General features: G+C 42.1%; 1 protein-coding gene across 15 annotated transcripts in view, besides 1 other annotated feature; it reads left to right on the plus strand.

Annotated features, from left to right (window-relative positions):
- Nucleotides 1-11,350, plus strand: part of CATSPERE (catsper channel auxiliary subunit epsilon) — a 189,263-nt gene extending 177,913 nt beyond the window's left edge. For 14 of the 15 annotated variants that reach the window (XR_001737095.2, XM_011544138.3, XM_017000947.2 and 11 more), the window contains 2 exons: nt 6,335-6,388; nt 10,774-11,350. Coding sequence is in view for 13 of the 15 variants with exons in the window: in XM_011544138.3 (XP_011542440.1) it covers nt 6,335-6,388; nt 10,774-10,927 (208 nt within the window). In the remaining 2 variants the exon portion in view is untranslated. Of the gene's footprint in view, nt 1-6,334; nt 6,389-10,773 lie in introns of those variants that run through there. The other variant, XM_017000951.2, reaches the window with a different exon arrangement.
- Nucleotides 13,568-14,121: an enhancer, noted in NCBI's record as "H3K27ac-H3K4me1 hESC enhancer chr1:244806024-244806577 (GRCh37/hg19 assembly coordinates)". NCBI's record gives its function as "activates a minimal SCP1, AML or CMV promoter by ChIP-STARR-seq in naive H9 embryonic stem cells {active_cell/tissue: H9 hESC(naive)}" and the evidence as "EXISTENCE:reporter gene assay evidence [ECO:0000049][PMID:30033119]".

Raw genomic sequence — 16,283 nt, forward strand, 5'->3', positions numbered from 1 at the left:
CCATCAGAACTTCCGCAGTCACACAGCTTCCTCCTCTGCCACAGACATATCAAGCACCTTTAGATCTGTTAGGTCATAAGAGTCAGATCTCAGCCCCGTTTGCATCACCTGGACCATCTAGACGGGCTTTTCACCCTGGACCTCATTCTGGCTGACTTTCAGGTCCCTCTGCATATTTGGAGAAGCACATCCAAATTATGTGCGGTACATGTTGCCTCCAAAATCCAAAGTGTGCCATAAAAAGGCATATCCCTTTCTTGTGGAAGGAAGTATAAAAAGCAGGAACTTGTCTTTTACTCTCAACAGTATATCATGTACCCCACAACTCATGGGACTTGTCTCTCTTACCTTTTTTTTTTTTTTTTTTTTTTTGGTAGGGACAAGGTCTTGCTATGTTGCCCAGCCTGGTCTTGAACTCCTTGCCTCAATCAATCCTCCCAAAGTGCTGGGATTACAGGTGTGAGCCAGCAGGCTTGGCATTGTCTCCTTTATCTTTTGTTTTTGAGACAGAGTCTTGGTCTGTGGTCCAGGCTGGAGTACAATGGCATGATCTCAGCTCAATGCAGTCCCTGCCTCCCAAGCTCAAGCAATTCTTGTGCCTCAGCCTCCTGAGTTGCTGGGATTACAGGCATGCACCACCATGCCTGGCTAATTTTTGTATTTTTAGTAGAGACGGGATTTTGCCATGTTGGCCAGGCTGGTCTCAAACTCCTGACCTCAAGCAATCCACCTGCCTCAGCCTCCCAAACTGCTGGGATTACAGGTGTGAGCCACGACACTTGGCCTTGTCTCCTTTATCTTACTAATATATCTGCAGTACCTGCTACCTCCTGCCCTCCAGGTCATGTATCATCAATATAGTGGACCAGCATGATGTTCTATGAGATGATGATGAAAACAAACTCCATGACAGCAGGATCATAGAGTGGATGTGGTCCTGAAGCAAGAAGGGAGGTGGACTACGGTATTCCCCAGGTGAAAGCAAACGGCCTCTGATCCTTTCTGCCTGTTGAGTTTCTTGCCCAGGGCCACAGAGAATGTAGTGAAACAAGACTTGAGCCTCAGTCAGTCTGATAGCAAAGCTCATGTTCTTTGCTCTGCAGATATCAGAGTGTTGAGGGATGGTGGTGAAAGCTCCCACATCATGTGTACTTTTTGAGTTTTACTGTTTTCTGTACAGTGTAATATATTTAAGTATCTGGAATTCAAAACTCATTCAGGTTGGAATAGCAGTTTGTTAAAGATTTACATGTTAGTGGTGTGGGGAGGAGGGAATAATTTGCTAAATGAATGGCTGCTTATCAGATGCTGGGGGTGGTATGGATTTGCTTCTTCGATGAGACTACATTGCGTGGGGGAGATAGCAACTACTGATTAATCTCATAATATTCTATCAGTCCCCAAAACTCATCAGTCTTCGGAACAGTTCAACCAAATAACTTAAATTGAGTTATTCTAGGTGTTGCAGGTTCCCTGGAAAGGAAACTTTGAGATGAAGGTTAGCATGCAGGAAGTTTACTGGGAAGTGTTCTGGGATCAAAACCTTTGGTGTTTCTGTCACTGATGTAGTTCTCAATGCCATGGTGAAAGGAGTATCTTATGGGTCCTATCTCAGGGAGAATGAGTGGTTCGCATCTGATCAATTCACTCCAGTACTCCCCTTTCTCTAAGTCTTTAGACTTATTTCTATACATTATAATAAAGGATTTCTTGCATCTCAACTTCATTTAATGCATTCATATCAACAATTGAATATGACCTAGAGTTATGCTTACACTTCCTTGGTCTAACACTCTCAGAATTCATTTTTTCTATACATATTCTTAGGGTATTGCTTATATAAGTTAGCAAAATTCTGCAGTTATTTTTCTGTGTAACCCTTCCTCTCCTGAGTTTGACTTTCATATTGCTCTCTAGAACTTGGTAGGATCTAAATCTGTCTAGAAACAACGTGTTTGTTGAGATGGAGCGTGATAAGAACTGGGTTATGCTTGCAACATGAACACCTCAGTAAAAGTAATATAGCTGGGCATGGTGTTGCATGCCTTCAGTACCAGCTACTCAGGAGGCTGATGGGGAGGATCATTTGAGCCCAGCACTTCAAGCTCAACATAGCAAGATCCCATCTCTAAAATAAAAAAAAGGGAATATAGAAATCATAGACCTAAATGTAAAATGCAAAACTATAAAACTCATAGAAGATAACTAACATAGGAAAAAACCTAATTAACCTCGCATATGGCTATGACTTTTTGGATAAACACCAGTGGTATGATCCATGAAATAAATCATTGAAAAGCTGGACTTCATTAAAATTAAAAACTTCTGCTCTGTGAAAGACAATGTCAAGAGAATGAGAAGACAAGCCACACACTGGAAGAAAATATTTACAAAAGATAGATCCAATAAATGATTATTATCCAGAATATACAAAGAACGCTTACAACTCGACAATAAGAAAATAACCAGATTTAAAAATGGGCAAAAGATCTGAACAGACACCTCTCCAGAGAAGATAAATGAATGACAAAAAGCATATGAAAAAATGTTCAACATGTTTATGTCATTAGAAAATGCAAATTAAAACAATAAGATACCACTACACACTTACTAGAGTGGTCAAAATCCAGAACACTGACAATATCAAATCTGACAAGGATATGGAATATCAGGAACTCTCATTCATTGCTGACAGAAATCCAAATGGTGTGGCCACTTTGGAAGACAGTTGTTTGGCAGTTTCTTACAAAACTAAACATACTCTTACTGTATGACCCAGCAGTCGTACTCATTGGTATTCACCCAAATGAGGCTGAGGTGGGAGGATTGGTTGAGCCAGGGAGGTTGAAGCTGCAGTGAGCTGTGATGGTGCCACTGCACTCTAGCCTGGGTGATAGAGTGAGAACCTGTCTCAAAAGATTAAAAAACAAACAAAAAGCAAAAATAAAGAAAATACTGTGGCCATGTGTGGTGGCTCACGCCTGTAATCCCAGCACTTTGGGAGGCCGAGGTGGGCAGATCATGAGGTCAGGAGTTTGAGACCATCCTGGCCAACATAGTGAAACCCCGTCTCTGCTAAAAATACAAAAATTAGCCGGGCATGGTGGTGTGCGCCTTTAATGCCAGCTACTTGGGAGGCTGAGGCAGGAGAATCACTTGAACCTGGGAGGCGGAGGTTGCAGTGAGGCAAGATCATGCCATTGCACTCCAGCCTGGGCAATAGAGTGAGACTCCAACTCAAAAAAAAAAAAAAAATGAAAAAGAAAAAGAAAAGAAAAGAAAATACTATGGGGTTTATAACATGTAATAAAAGTAAAATGGATGAAAACAATGGCACAAAGGATGGGAGTAAGGATTAGAAGCATAGTGTTTTAAGATTCTTATACTTAAGAATGGTATATATACAAATAGTATACCATTAAATGGTATACTATTTGCCAGAAAAATGTGATAAATTAATGATTGATATTGTATACAAACCACATTAGAAAAAGATACAAACCTATAAAAGCCAATAGGGAAGATAATGTGGAATCATTAAAAAAACTTTATTAATACAAAAAGGGACAGAAGAAAAGGAGAAAGGAACAACAAAATGATAGCAAATAGCAAGACTGTAGATTTAACTCTAACGATATCAACAATTACATTAAATACAAATGGTCTAAATATCCCAATTAAAGAACGGAGATTGTCACATTGGATAAAAATATAAGACCTAACTACAGACTGTCTACCAGTAACCTATATTAAATATGAAGACATAGATTGATTAAAAGTAAAAGGATAAAAAAAGATAAACCATGCTAATAGTAGTCAAAAGAAAGCCAGATTGGCCATATTAATAGCAGATAAAGAGGAATTCAGAACAAGGAAGGTATAAAGAGACACATTACATAATGATAAAGAAGGTGTAATAATCCTAAATGTGGATTTACCTTTAAAACAGCTTCAAAATACATGAAACAAAAACGGATAGAACTAAACAGAGAAACAGACAAACCCCTAATTGCAGTTGGAGATTTCAACATTCCTTTCTCAGAAATTGATAGGACAAGTAGAGAGAAAATCAGTAAGGATACAGAATACCTAACTGTGCTATCAACCAATTCAATCCATTTGACAACACTACATCTAACAACTTTTAAACCATAAAGTTCCAGTTGCACTTATTCCATGCTGATTCATCACAATTTCATTCTATCAAAGGTCAACTTGGCCCTCTTTTCAGTCACAATTGCCTCTACCCAAGTCTAGACCTCATTATCACACAGCTGGGTTGTTTACTACTATGTATAATTTTTCCATATGGCCCACTTACATCTAATCTATTCCAAATCACTTTACAAACTGCTATTGAATTAAATTCAAAAACAGTCATGACTCCTTTATACAAAAAGGGTAAAGTCAAAATTCCTAAGCCTTTCATTAAAGCCCTCTGGAGGACACATGTGCAGGCATGAGCACACGCATGCACACACACACACACGCACACAAAACCCCCACTACTTTCCTCTACATGCACCAAGATATTTCCTCATTATCCCTTAAACCTCACAAATTCATTCCCATTTCCAAACCTTTGCTCATCTCTCCCTACACCTGGAATGCCCTAACCCTTCATCCTTATTTAAACTCCAACCTTTAGGACTCAACACAAGCCTCTTTGCCGTGCTGTGAAAATTCCTGTGACAGGTGTCTACATCACTCATTTTTTTTTTTTTTTTTGAGACGGAGCCTCACTCTGTTGCCCAGGCTGGAGTGCAGTGGTGCGATCTCCGCTCACTGCAACCTACGCCTCCCGGTTCAAGCAATTCTCCTGCCTCAACCTCCCAAGTAGCTGGGATTATAGGCACAGACCCCCACACCTGGCTAATTTTTTGTATTTTAGTAGAGATGGGGTTTCACCATGTTGCCCAGGCTGGTCTCCAACTCCTGAGCTCAGGCAATCCTCCCACCTAGGCCTCCCAAAGTGATGGGATTACAGGTGTGAGCCACCGTGCCCAGCCTAGAATTTATAACATAGTATCTTGTATTGTTGTTTGTGGGTTGTATTTACATGCCAATTCCACAAGTTGATATAATGGTAGAGTCTACTTTGGTTTGAATCCCAGTTTTGCCACTACTAGCTATTCAGTCTAAAGAAAATTGCTTACTCTTTTTGAGCCGTTCTGTATCTGTAGAATGGGTCGATAATACCTGTCTTACAGTATTCTGAGGGGTAAATGAAGCATCTGGGTGAAAATCTCTAACTTTGCCAAGCACATAACAAATAATAAAAATAAGTTCCTTTCTTCTGTGTTCTCCCACATGTAGGTAGGTGAAATCATGTCATAAATGTTTGCTTAGCTATATCCTGCCTCATTCCAAGCAATATACTTAATAATGAGAGACATTCTGTAATATTAGAAATGATAATACAGTTTTACAGATGGAGCCCCTAATACTCAGCTTCCTGAAGGAGTTAGCCTACATCAGGTCAACATGATGGGCAGCAGGGTCAGAAAAACCTGAATGCAAATCCCAGCTCTGCTACTAACAGCTGTGTAAACTTTCTCAAGTTGCTTAACCTATCTGAGCTTCCTCATCTGAGTTTCCTCATCTAAAAGGAAGGGTTGCTGTGAAGATCAACTAAGATAATGCATGTAAGCGTTTGGCATGCCGCCTAGTACATAGCAATGCTCAATTAGTATTCATTTTCTTTTTTTGAGATGGAGTCTCACTCTGTCGCCCAGGCTGGAGTGCAGCGGCGCAATCTCAGCTCACTGCAACCTCCGCCTCCTGGGTTCAAGAGATTCTCCCGCCTCAGCCTTCCAAGTAGCTGTGACTACAGGTGCCCACCACCATGCTTGGCTAATTTTTGTATTTTTAGTAGAGAAGGGGTTTCACCATGTTGGCCAGGTCAGTCTCAAACTCCTGACCTCAGGTGATCTGCCCACCTCGGCCTCCCAAAGGCTGGGATTACAGGTGTGAGCCACCGCGCCTGCCAGTATTCATTTTCAATAAGTATTAATACTCATAAATGTTAGCTTTTTTTTATTTCTGCCAATACTTATTATTAATACCATTATTCCTGTTGCCTTGGGAACCACTATCAAAATGATGTCAGGCTGTTAGGACAGAGAGCTCTTCAGGAATCTCAGAGAAGCCTGAGCTGTACATATGGAAAAATAATCACAGCTGTTCTATAAATGTATCCATTCTGTCCTTTGTCAAGAAAATGACACCTTAACTAGGATTATATATGGTTTGATTGTTACCATAGGGACATGGAGAGCGTTTTAAAATATATTGTACTTAGTGTAATCTTTCATATTATTTTTCTGCTTTGCAGTTTCTGTAACCTAACAGCTATGTTTGCAATAGAGACATTTGGACTGATTCCCAGGTAAGGAGCAGGGCCTAACTGGACTTTAATTAGGGAATTTCTAAGACACAAATGGCAGCTAAGAAGGAAAAGCACCTCTCCCCCGTGTCTCCCAGAAGCAGCCTGTGCACTCACTTTTCAGGGCCCCCAGCTTAAATCTTATTATGAAAATTATTATTATACAGTATATAATGCAAATGAATCCTAAAACAACAACAAAAAACTTGTATGAAGTGTTCACTGCAAAGTCAATGGTTTTAATAAGTCTATATTTAGATTTTTGGGGGGCTATGAAATCTATCTTCCCAAATGACAGAAACTTGCTGTTTCCCTGAAGCCCTGGTACTTCTGCCCCCTATATGACATCCTAAAAATTGTATGTGTGTATAGTGTGTATACAGGGGCACAGCAGGAAGGAATTCCTGAGAACTGTTACTGCAGCAAAGGTCCCCTTTCGTGCCATCCCACTCAACAGCCACTGCCTTCCTATCAAACATGTCTCAGCTCCTCCTACTTGGCAGATGCCAGAATGCAGTGGTAGGGATTGGGAGGTGACAGTGGCTGTGCCCTCTGCTCTAAGCCTGGGTCAGCTTTCAACCATAGACCCTCATTCTGATGCATTTAGGAAACAGTAAAGGGATTTCCCTGGACTCAGCTCCAGTTCCCTTGGAGGGCAGAATGAAAAGTCCTAATACTGAAGTTAGGACCCCAAATGACTTTGCTACTCTGTTTTGGGCCTGGTGTTTGGAATTTGGGTGTTTGGGTTTTGTTTGATGGGTTTTTTTTGCGGGGGAGGGGAGAGGATTGTTAAATAAGGGCGTAAGAAAAACAATTAAGTTACTCATGGCCCTACTGTAAATATGACTGACTCCTGGAGTTTTTGTATTAATGGAATGTTAATAGTGTGAATAATCTGCAAATGAAGTCAAGAGTTGTTTCTACATAACTTTGGGAAACATGCAGAACCTTTTCCTAGTGACTTTTCCTCATGGGGTTGGTATGTTTGATTTAGGTGAATATTAAGGTCATGGGGTTGGTATGTTTGATTTAGGTGAATATTAAGGTATATACCCACCCAAGTACCCACCAACCGAAGAAGGAGTCAAGTGAGTTAGCCAGGAGAAAGAGCAAAGGAGGAGGATCTCACTCACCTGCCCCGCTCTCACCTGCCAGCAGCTAGAGTCCAGCAGCCAGGGCATATGAGCACAGCATACAGGATAGTCTGGTTAGTGACTGTAGGTTAGCCTCTGTTAACACCTGGGCCCTGAAGGGTAGCAGAGGCAGACAAGGGCTGGCTGGTGGTTGATATTTTCTTAATTGAGTCCTTTTCTAGAGCAGCGACTGGAGATGAGTTTGTAGAAGGCAAAGAGCTCGGCACTTCCTTGCTCCTAGTCCAGCACTCAACCCCACCACTTGCCCAGTGTCTCCATTCTGCTCTCTCTCTGGAATTGCCATCCTTTAACCAGCAGACTCACCCAGATCTTCAACCATCCTCTGAGCCCTCCCTCTCTCTCCTTGGGGAAACCAGACTCTCCCCCGAGGACACTGCTCCACCTTCTGGCCTCTCGAGTGGTGCTCTTTTCTTTCACCTGCCATGTACCTCAGGGGGCCCTATTACCAATTCCAGATATTATTTATCCTCGTTCTTGTAACAAAACCAAAAAAATAAACACAAAACCTACCCGATCCTTTGAGGCTCATGGCGTCCGCTGCAGCCCCAGCTGTCTGTCCTCATCACCATGTCCTCCCCACAGTCTGCTGCATTCATTCTCAACTTTGGCCCCGTCACACTCACACTGTTTTCCTCTCCACGTCAAGCCCCACCATCAGTGTTCGCATCCAGCATCCAAAATCGTGGCCTTACCACATCCTTGGTGACCTCCCTCTACTGCACTTCAGCCATCCACTCCCATAGTTACACCTTCCACACTGTCATTACTTGTAACTTCTCTGCTTCCTAAAGCATCAATCCAGACATCCCATTCTCTGATCACGACCTCCTGTCCTTCCAGCTTGTTAATCCATGACACCCACCGCAACCCCCCTTCACCCTTACTGGAACCTCCACCTCTACTTCCAATCTCTCTTTTTTTACTTTGCATTTCCTTACATTTCAAAGTCTATTATTTCAACAACACTTACCAGTACACCCTCACCCCTCTGGGATTTGTTACTCCCTCTGGCAAATCCCCAACTACCTACTTTTTCTGTGACTACACCTGAGCAGCATTCTCTGTAATAGCGATTTCAGATTGTATCTAATTAGTTTCCTCCTCAAACCTGCTTTCCTTAATCATCATCAGATGAGCTTGTTTCCACCCTCACAAAGAAATTAGAAACCATCAGACAGGAACGCCCTCTATTCCAGATTGCAAACATAAAAATCTACTAACATCTACATCCATCCTCTCCTCTTTCCGTCCTGTTACAACAAAGGCAATATTATTCCTCCTTTTTAAATATAATTCTTCCACCTATGCTTTGCACACTATCTGTTCCTCTCCACTTACTGAGGAAACTTTCAAATGAATTATTCCTTCTCTCTTCTGTATATTCAACTTTCCCTTTCAACTAGATCCTTCTAATAGGTTTTTAGTGACCCTCAAGTTTCTCCGTTGCAGGACAAAACTTCTCAAAAGTATTGTCTACACTCACAGTCTCCATTTCCCTGTGTCCAGCCCTCTTTCTCCGATCCATCCAGTCGGGTTTCTATCTCATCACTCTGCCGATTAGTTCTCATTACAATAGCTTTGGCCTTCATGGAGCTAATAGATATTTTCCAGTCCTCATCTTATTAGATCTTTCTTCAGCGTTGACTCTACCTTTGGCTGTTGTATCACACTGTGGGTTTTCCCAAACTTCTGTAGCCACTGCCTCTCTCTCCCTAGTAAAGAAAGCCTCACCCTCCTTTAGCAGCCTTTAAATGTTGGCCTCCCCTGAGGCTCAGTCCTGTCCTGAGCTTCCCACTCTGGCAAGCTCATCCACAATCATGACTTGAGTTAGCATCTATATACACATGGCTCCCAAATAATATCTCTAGAACAGTCCAAAGCCATACATCCTACTGTCTACTTAACTTCTTCTCTTAGGTGTCTCAAAGACTAGTCAAACTGGACATGTCCAAAAGTGAACTCATGATCTTATCACACGCTCCCCTATTCCATTATTTAATCTACCTTAAAACTGATCCGTCAGGGCAATTACATATAGCCATATGGAAGGAAGATAACCTTTATTCCTTCATATTTCTCAAACCCCACATCTTAATAATCACCAAGATTGATCCAATATAACTTCTACATGTATCTTAGATATATCCGCTTCTCTCCATGTCTTCGGCCATTAATTTTGTGAAGACTCTCATCGTAGCTTACCTGGATTATTCAAATACTTCATAACTGCCTTTTCTACCTTCACACTCATGCTTTGCTTTCATCCATTCTTCACACTCCACAATCATCCTTGTAAAATGTCAATCCTATATCATCCCTCTGAAGCTCTCTCCTGCCTTAGGCTAAAACCCACTCTCTAGCTTGACTTAAGCAGTTTTTCTCATCTGGCCCTGCCCACCTATCAATCCTCATCTCCAACCACTCCCCTTGGCACCTGAGCTGCTGTCATACTGAAGGAGCTGCAGTTCCAGAATGTCTAGGAGTGGTCCTGAGGTGTTACCACATTTCCATGCCTTCTCATACCCTTCTCCCTTTGTCTGAAACACTGTTCCCACCTTGGTCTATTCCTCCACTCTTAGGCATTTTTATCTAGCTAACTCCTACTCCCACTCATACTCATACCAAGCTAACTCCTGCCCAGGCTCAGTTCAGACATCCCCTCCACTGGAAGGCCTTCCATGATGTGCGGCTCCCACAGAACTTCATTTCTAGCTGGGTGCAGTGGCTCACGCCTGTAATCCCTTTTGGCACTTTGGGAGGCCAAGGCCGGCAAATCACTTGAGGTCAGGAGTTCGAGACCAGCCTGGCCAACATGGTGAAACCCCGTCTCTACTAAAAATACAAAAATTAGCTGGGTGTGGTGGTGCCCTCCTGTAATCCCAGCTGCTTGGGAGGCTGAAGCAGGAGAATGGTTTGAACCCAGGAGCCAGGGCTTCCAGTGAGCCATTGCCCTCCAGGCTGGGTGACAGAGGGAGACTCCATCTCAAAAAAAAAAAAAACCAACTTCATTTCCTCCTCCCATTGCATCACTGCATTGATCACCTTGTCTATTTTCCTCCCTGTCAGCCTCAAACACTAAAAGGTAAACACTGTGAGGGTGGACAGTGTGTCTTATTCACCTTTGCTCTCTGTCAATGGCATAGTAGCTAGCTATTCAAAAAGTGTTTAAATAAATTAACAGCCAAAGTGTGAACAATGACTTCTAATGCCTTTTTTTTTTTTTTCTGATTTCAGTCCAAGTGTCTACCTGGTAGCTTCTTTCCTCTTCGTCCTGATGCTGCTCTTCTTCACTATTCTTGTTTTGAGCTACTTTCGGTACATGAGGATTTATAGACGATATATTTATGAACCACTTCACAAACCTCAAAGAAAACGTAAGAAGAATTAGGAAAACTGAAAGTTTGTTTATTACAGATATATGCATATAGAGAAACAGTGTATTACATAGTGATATTGAGAGTGTGTGTTTGACCAAGAAATACTAAATATAAGCTCGTAGTAGGCATCACCAAATTCAAGATCTGAAAAATATTCTTGAACTATCTCCAAAATAGAAATGTTTTCATATATATTGTTATTAAATTAATCCTTTGTTTGCCTTCATTTTAAAGATACTCTATGTACTCTCACATGGCATGAAAAAATAAACTAAATTTGACTATTACAATCCTTTGTAAGAATGAAAGTGAATTTTTGAAAATATATCTATGTGTCAAGTATCATTTTGCATGAAACTTTTCACATGAAACCTTATATGACTGTAGTTAATTTATATATAAAGGATTTAATAAAGGTGTGTGGATTTAAATAACCTGCCCTAAACAGATTTTTTTCTACTGGTAAATTAACAGATGAAATGTAAAATATATTAAAAATGAGCAGCTGATGTTCTCAATTTTATTTTATTTTATTTTGAGACAGGGTCTTGCTGTGTTGCCCAGGCTGGTCTTGAACTCCTGGGCTCAAGTGATCCTCCAGCCTTTCATGAGGTTACAGGCATGAGCCTGTAGAATTTGGAGCAGGCTCTAAATTTTAATTCTAAGTTTTACATTTTGACTTTGATGCTCAAAACAAGCTTCTTAATTTGTCCAAATATTACCACAGCCTTCTAAATAACTAGTATTTGGATGTATCAGTCCGGGTTCAACCAGAGCAGCAGAACCAGAGGGGGGGGTGCGTGGGTGAGTGTGTGTGGGTGCATGTGTGTGTTGTGTGCGCCAGCGCGCGCTTACTCTCCTCTGAAGAGATATATTTGAAAAGAATTGGATTGTGTGATCGTGGAGCCTGGCTAAACAAGTCTGAAATCCACAGTGCAGGCAATCAAGAATGGAAGATCACAAGCAAGATGAAATTCCACGGGCACTGATCAAAGCTGCTGTCCACAAAGAATTGCTCATGTCACCAAAATCAAGAATAGGACAGAGATACCTGCTGGTCATCGCTGTTTTGAAAGTTCTGACGTCACAGGAGAAAAATAAAATAAACAGTACAAATGCTGGGAAAAAAGAGACAAAATCCTCTCTTTAAATAATATTATGTGCTAAGAAAGTCCAAAATTCACAACAAGTTTTACCAGAATAACAGAATTTGATGGCTCTATACTAGACAAATATTTACAAATCAATACTTTCTCTATAACAGTTACAATCTGTTAGCAATAGAAATAATCTATTCATTGCAGTGACAAATTATATAAATTTAATATGAGAAGAACATGACCTATATGAAGAAAACTTTAAAATATTTAATGAAAGAGGTGAAACAAGATCTGAAACTAGATAGGGGGAGAAAAGACAAACTACCCAATAGAAAATGAGCAAAGTTGCAGTCATCCCACAAAATAGCATATCCAAACAGCCAATAAACATATTTAAAACAACTATTTTTTTAGTGTTTATTATATGCCAGGATCTTTTCTAATAACCAAACCTCCTCAATAACCCTATGAAACAAGAACTATTATTATCCCATTATAGAGATGATGAGGAAACTGGCACATAGAGGGTAAATAAATCTACTAAGCGCATATCATTGGTACGTGATGAAACTGGAATTCACACTCAGGCAGACTGGCTTCAAAATCAGGTAATTATCCACTAAGGAAACTCAACCTTGGCTGGCAGTCGGAAAGATACAAACCAAAGTCACGGTGTGGCAGCATTTTTCACCTGACGGCAAAAACTCCAAAGGGTGATAATACTTGAGAAGGAATGGGGGTCAGGGATGGGAAGGAAATTATCTTGCAGTTCTGAAGGAAATGTAAATCGCTGTAGTTTTTTTTTAAGCAATCTGGCAAAATCTGTTAAAATTAAAAATACAGACTCTCTTGGACCCAGCAACCCCACTGTTAGGAATCGTTCCACACAGTGGGATGGGGAGGACCAGTATATCAGGATATGTGTATATGTGTGGGTGTAGATGGATGGATGAATAGATAGAGATGCTATACATATAGATAGATACAGATATATAGAGAGATGGCATCATTAGTTACTGTGGCAAAACTCTAGAAAGAGAATTAACACCTAGCAACAGGTGAACAGGGAGTGGTTGAATAAATGTTTGATTGTACGTTGACCACAAAGTCTGTGCTAAGTGACTTAGAAGGTTTTTAACAAGGTTTTGTTAAATGAGAAAAGCAAGCTGCAGGGAAGCATCTATAGTCTGATCCTATTTTTATGCAAACAAAATAAATGTTGTGTGATTGAGAACATGGAGGAAAGCATGGCAGTGATATGGACGGGGGACAGGGAAGTGCTGGGTAGAGAAAGGCAGGTCCCTGGCTAGGGATCCGCCCTCAGGCCTGTGCCCACGGACCTAGGTGAGGATAGGCACTCCTGCCTTCACACCCAAATGTTGTATTTCCCAAGAACAGCCTGGCCTGCCACGACCCCATCCTGTGCCTATAAAAACCCCAAGACCCTAGTGGGCAGAGACAACAAGCGGCTGGACGTCGAGAGGAACACACATTAGCGAAAGAACACACAGGCGGCTGGACACCGAGAGAAGCACATGGGCTGGAGAGCACAGCCGGCAGGCCATTGATCAGCGGAACCACGCGGAGTTTGGGGGTTTGGCCGGGACGGTGGGAGGAGAGACTGGCTGCCAAGTGCCCGACTCCAGGGGAAAACCATCTCCCTTCTGGCTCCCCCATCTGCTGAGAGCTATTTCCACTCAATAAAACCTTGCATTCATTCTTCAATCAAGCCCACGTGTGATCTGATTCTTCGGGTACACTAAGGCAAGAAACCCAAGATACAGAAAGCCTCTGTCCTTGCAATAAGGCAAGGGCCTCATTGAGCTGATTAACACATGCTGCTATGGACAGCTCAACTGAACGAACACCCTGTAACACACACCCACTGGGGCTTCGGCTGTAAACATTCGCCCTTAGACATTGCCCGGGGTCGGAGCCCCACAACCTGCCCGTCTGCATGCTCTCCCAGAGGTGTGAGCGGCAGAGAACCAAAGAAGCAAGCCACACGCCTATCGCATGCCCTGCCAGGGGGATAAGAGAACCTGCCCCGTTTCAGCAGTATACGTACCATTGTGTGTGCAGGCATGCACGTGTGTGTACACGACAGGGGGCGTGGGGCTGTATCAAGAGATGGAGATGGAGAGAGAGAGAAACAAGGCCCTCCAAACTGGGGTGAAGGGGAACAATAGAAAAGCAGCCTGGAAAATGTTCTTTCTATGTAAACCAATATGTATGCACGTAAAGACAAAGGAAGTCACCAAACTTCAAATGATGTCATTTTTTGAGGAAAATATTTTTTAATTGACATAATAATTGTCCATATTTATGGGGTACATAGTGCTGGTTTTATACATATAAAGTATAGTAACCAGATCAGGTAATTAGCACATCCATTATCTCAAACGTTTGTCATTTCTTTGTGTTGGGAACATTCAATATCCTCCTTCTAGCTATTTGAAACTCTGTATCATTATTAACTAACGGTCATCCTACAGTGCTATAGAACAGGAGAACTTCTTCCTTTTATCTAGCTGTAATTTGTATCCTTTAACACAGGGGTCCCCAACCCCCACCAGAGCATTACCGCCTGAGCTCCAACTCCTGTCGGATCAGTGGCATTAGATTCTCGTAGGAGTGCGAACCCTATTGTGAACTGCACGTGCAAGGAATGGAGGTTCCAAACTCCACATGAGAATCTAATGCCTGATGATCTGTGGTGGAACAGTTTCATCCTGAAACCATTCCCGCTCCCCACCTTCCCCATGCCCTGTCCATGGAAAACTTGTCTTCCACAAAACCAGTCACTGGTGCCAAAAAGGTGGGGGACCACTGCTTTAACAAATCACTCCCTGTCCTTCCCTTCCCCCTAACAAAATGATGTAATTTTGGATGCTATTTGCTTTCTTCCTACTTCCCACCACATTGTACTTAAATGTTTTAATTAATCATAAAAAGTAAAGCTGCTCTTACTGTGAGCAAAGAGCTGGGAAATGAAGAAGTGGAGGCAAGTACAGACAACTCTTTCAAGAAGTTCCCCCCACCTCACTTTTTTTTTTTTTTTTTTTTTTGACAAGGAGCAAAGAAATGGCAGGCACCTGAGCACAAGTGAGGTCAGGAAGAGGTTACTGAATATGGGTGGAAATAATCCAGTAGCTAGGAGAAACTGATGATACAGGAGGAAAGAGGTAATCGCTGGATCAAAATCCTCGAGTCAGCAAGAGAGAATTAGATCTTGTGCTGAAAACTAAGAATTGAATATTTCGTGAAAGTTCATTACTCATGAACTCTGGCTTCCCTCCTGTCACAGTGGTAAGTAGGCTCGCAGGAAGATCAGTGGTTCCTGGAGGCCATGAGATTGTCCCTCACAAGTCTCCCACTGCAGGAGTGTAATTGACCCAGAGCATCAGCTGCTGCCCTCTGAAACTCATCACCACATTTGCACCAAGCCTGCAGCCCCTCAGGCTGTTCCCCACCTGTGACCGAGTGCAGTGAGGAAACTAAGGAAGACCCAGTGCTGGTAGACACAGGACTCTTATCAGCCTGGCTCAAGGACTCCCGAAGGTGTTACCAAACCTTCCTTAGATTGCACAGCAGTTTAGGCAACTCTATCCAATCTCAATCTGCACCATTTCTCTCCCGCGCTCTCTCTCTGGTAAGTCTCTCAACTTCCACAGCTCTTTATTTCCTTTCACACAAGTATTTCCCTGCATGAAATCCTTGCACATTGAATCCCATGTTAGTAACTGTTTCTCAGAGGACCTGGATTAGCACAAGTCATAAGTGAGCGGTCTGAGAAATCAGGCAGTCAGATGGTAATTTGGGACTGGCTCACCCAGCACCCAGAAGGCAGACAGGAAGCCATCCTAAGGGATATGTGGTCAGCGATAGTCCTGGGCTGTAGGTGGTGGTTCAGTTTTTAATGTTTTCATTGATAGTGACCCGAGGAAATGTCCTGGTGGAGGGGAAAGCTATGGCAGGTGCAATGGTAAAGGGATTTGAAAAACATGGGGATCACAAAGACATGATTGAGTTATACTAATGACCTGCACAAAGTGGAGACCGAGAGCCATAGCAGCTAATGGAGATAAGAATAAAAAGCAGTGTCTCTTATAAAGAGGTCATCGTCACCAATAGTAAAAAGGCAGACACAATTGAACACTAAGCTGAAGACCTGGGAGTCACAGGGCTCCAGAAATGTTTGCACACAGCTACTTTAGGTCTGTTACTGGGCCGTTGAGGCCCTGGTAGAGAAAACTTTTGATCCTAA

The sequence above is a fragment of the Homo sapiens genome, chromosome 1, assembly GCF_000001405.40.
Source record: "Homo sapiens chromosome 1, GRCh38.p14 Primary Assembly".
NCBI classification, from domain to species: domain Eukaryota; kingdom Metazoa; phylum Chordata; class Mammalia; order Primates; family Hominidae; genus Homo; species Homo sapiens.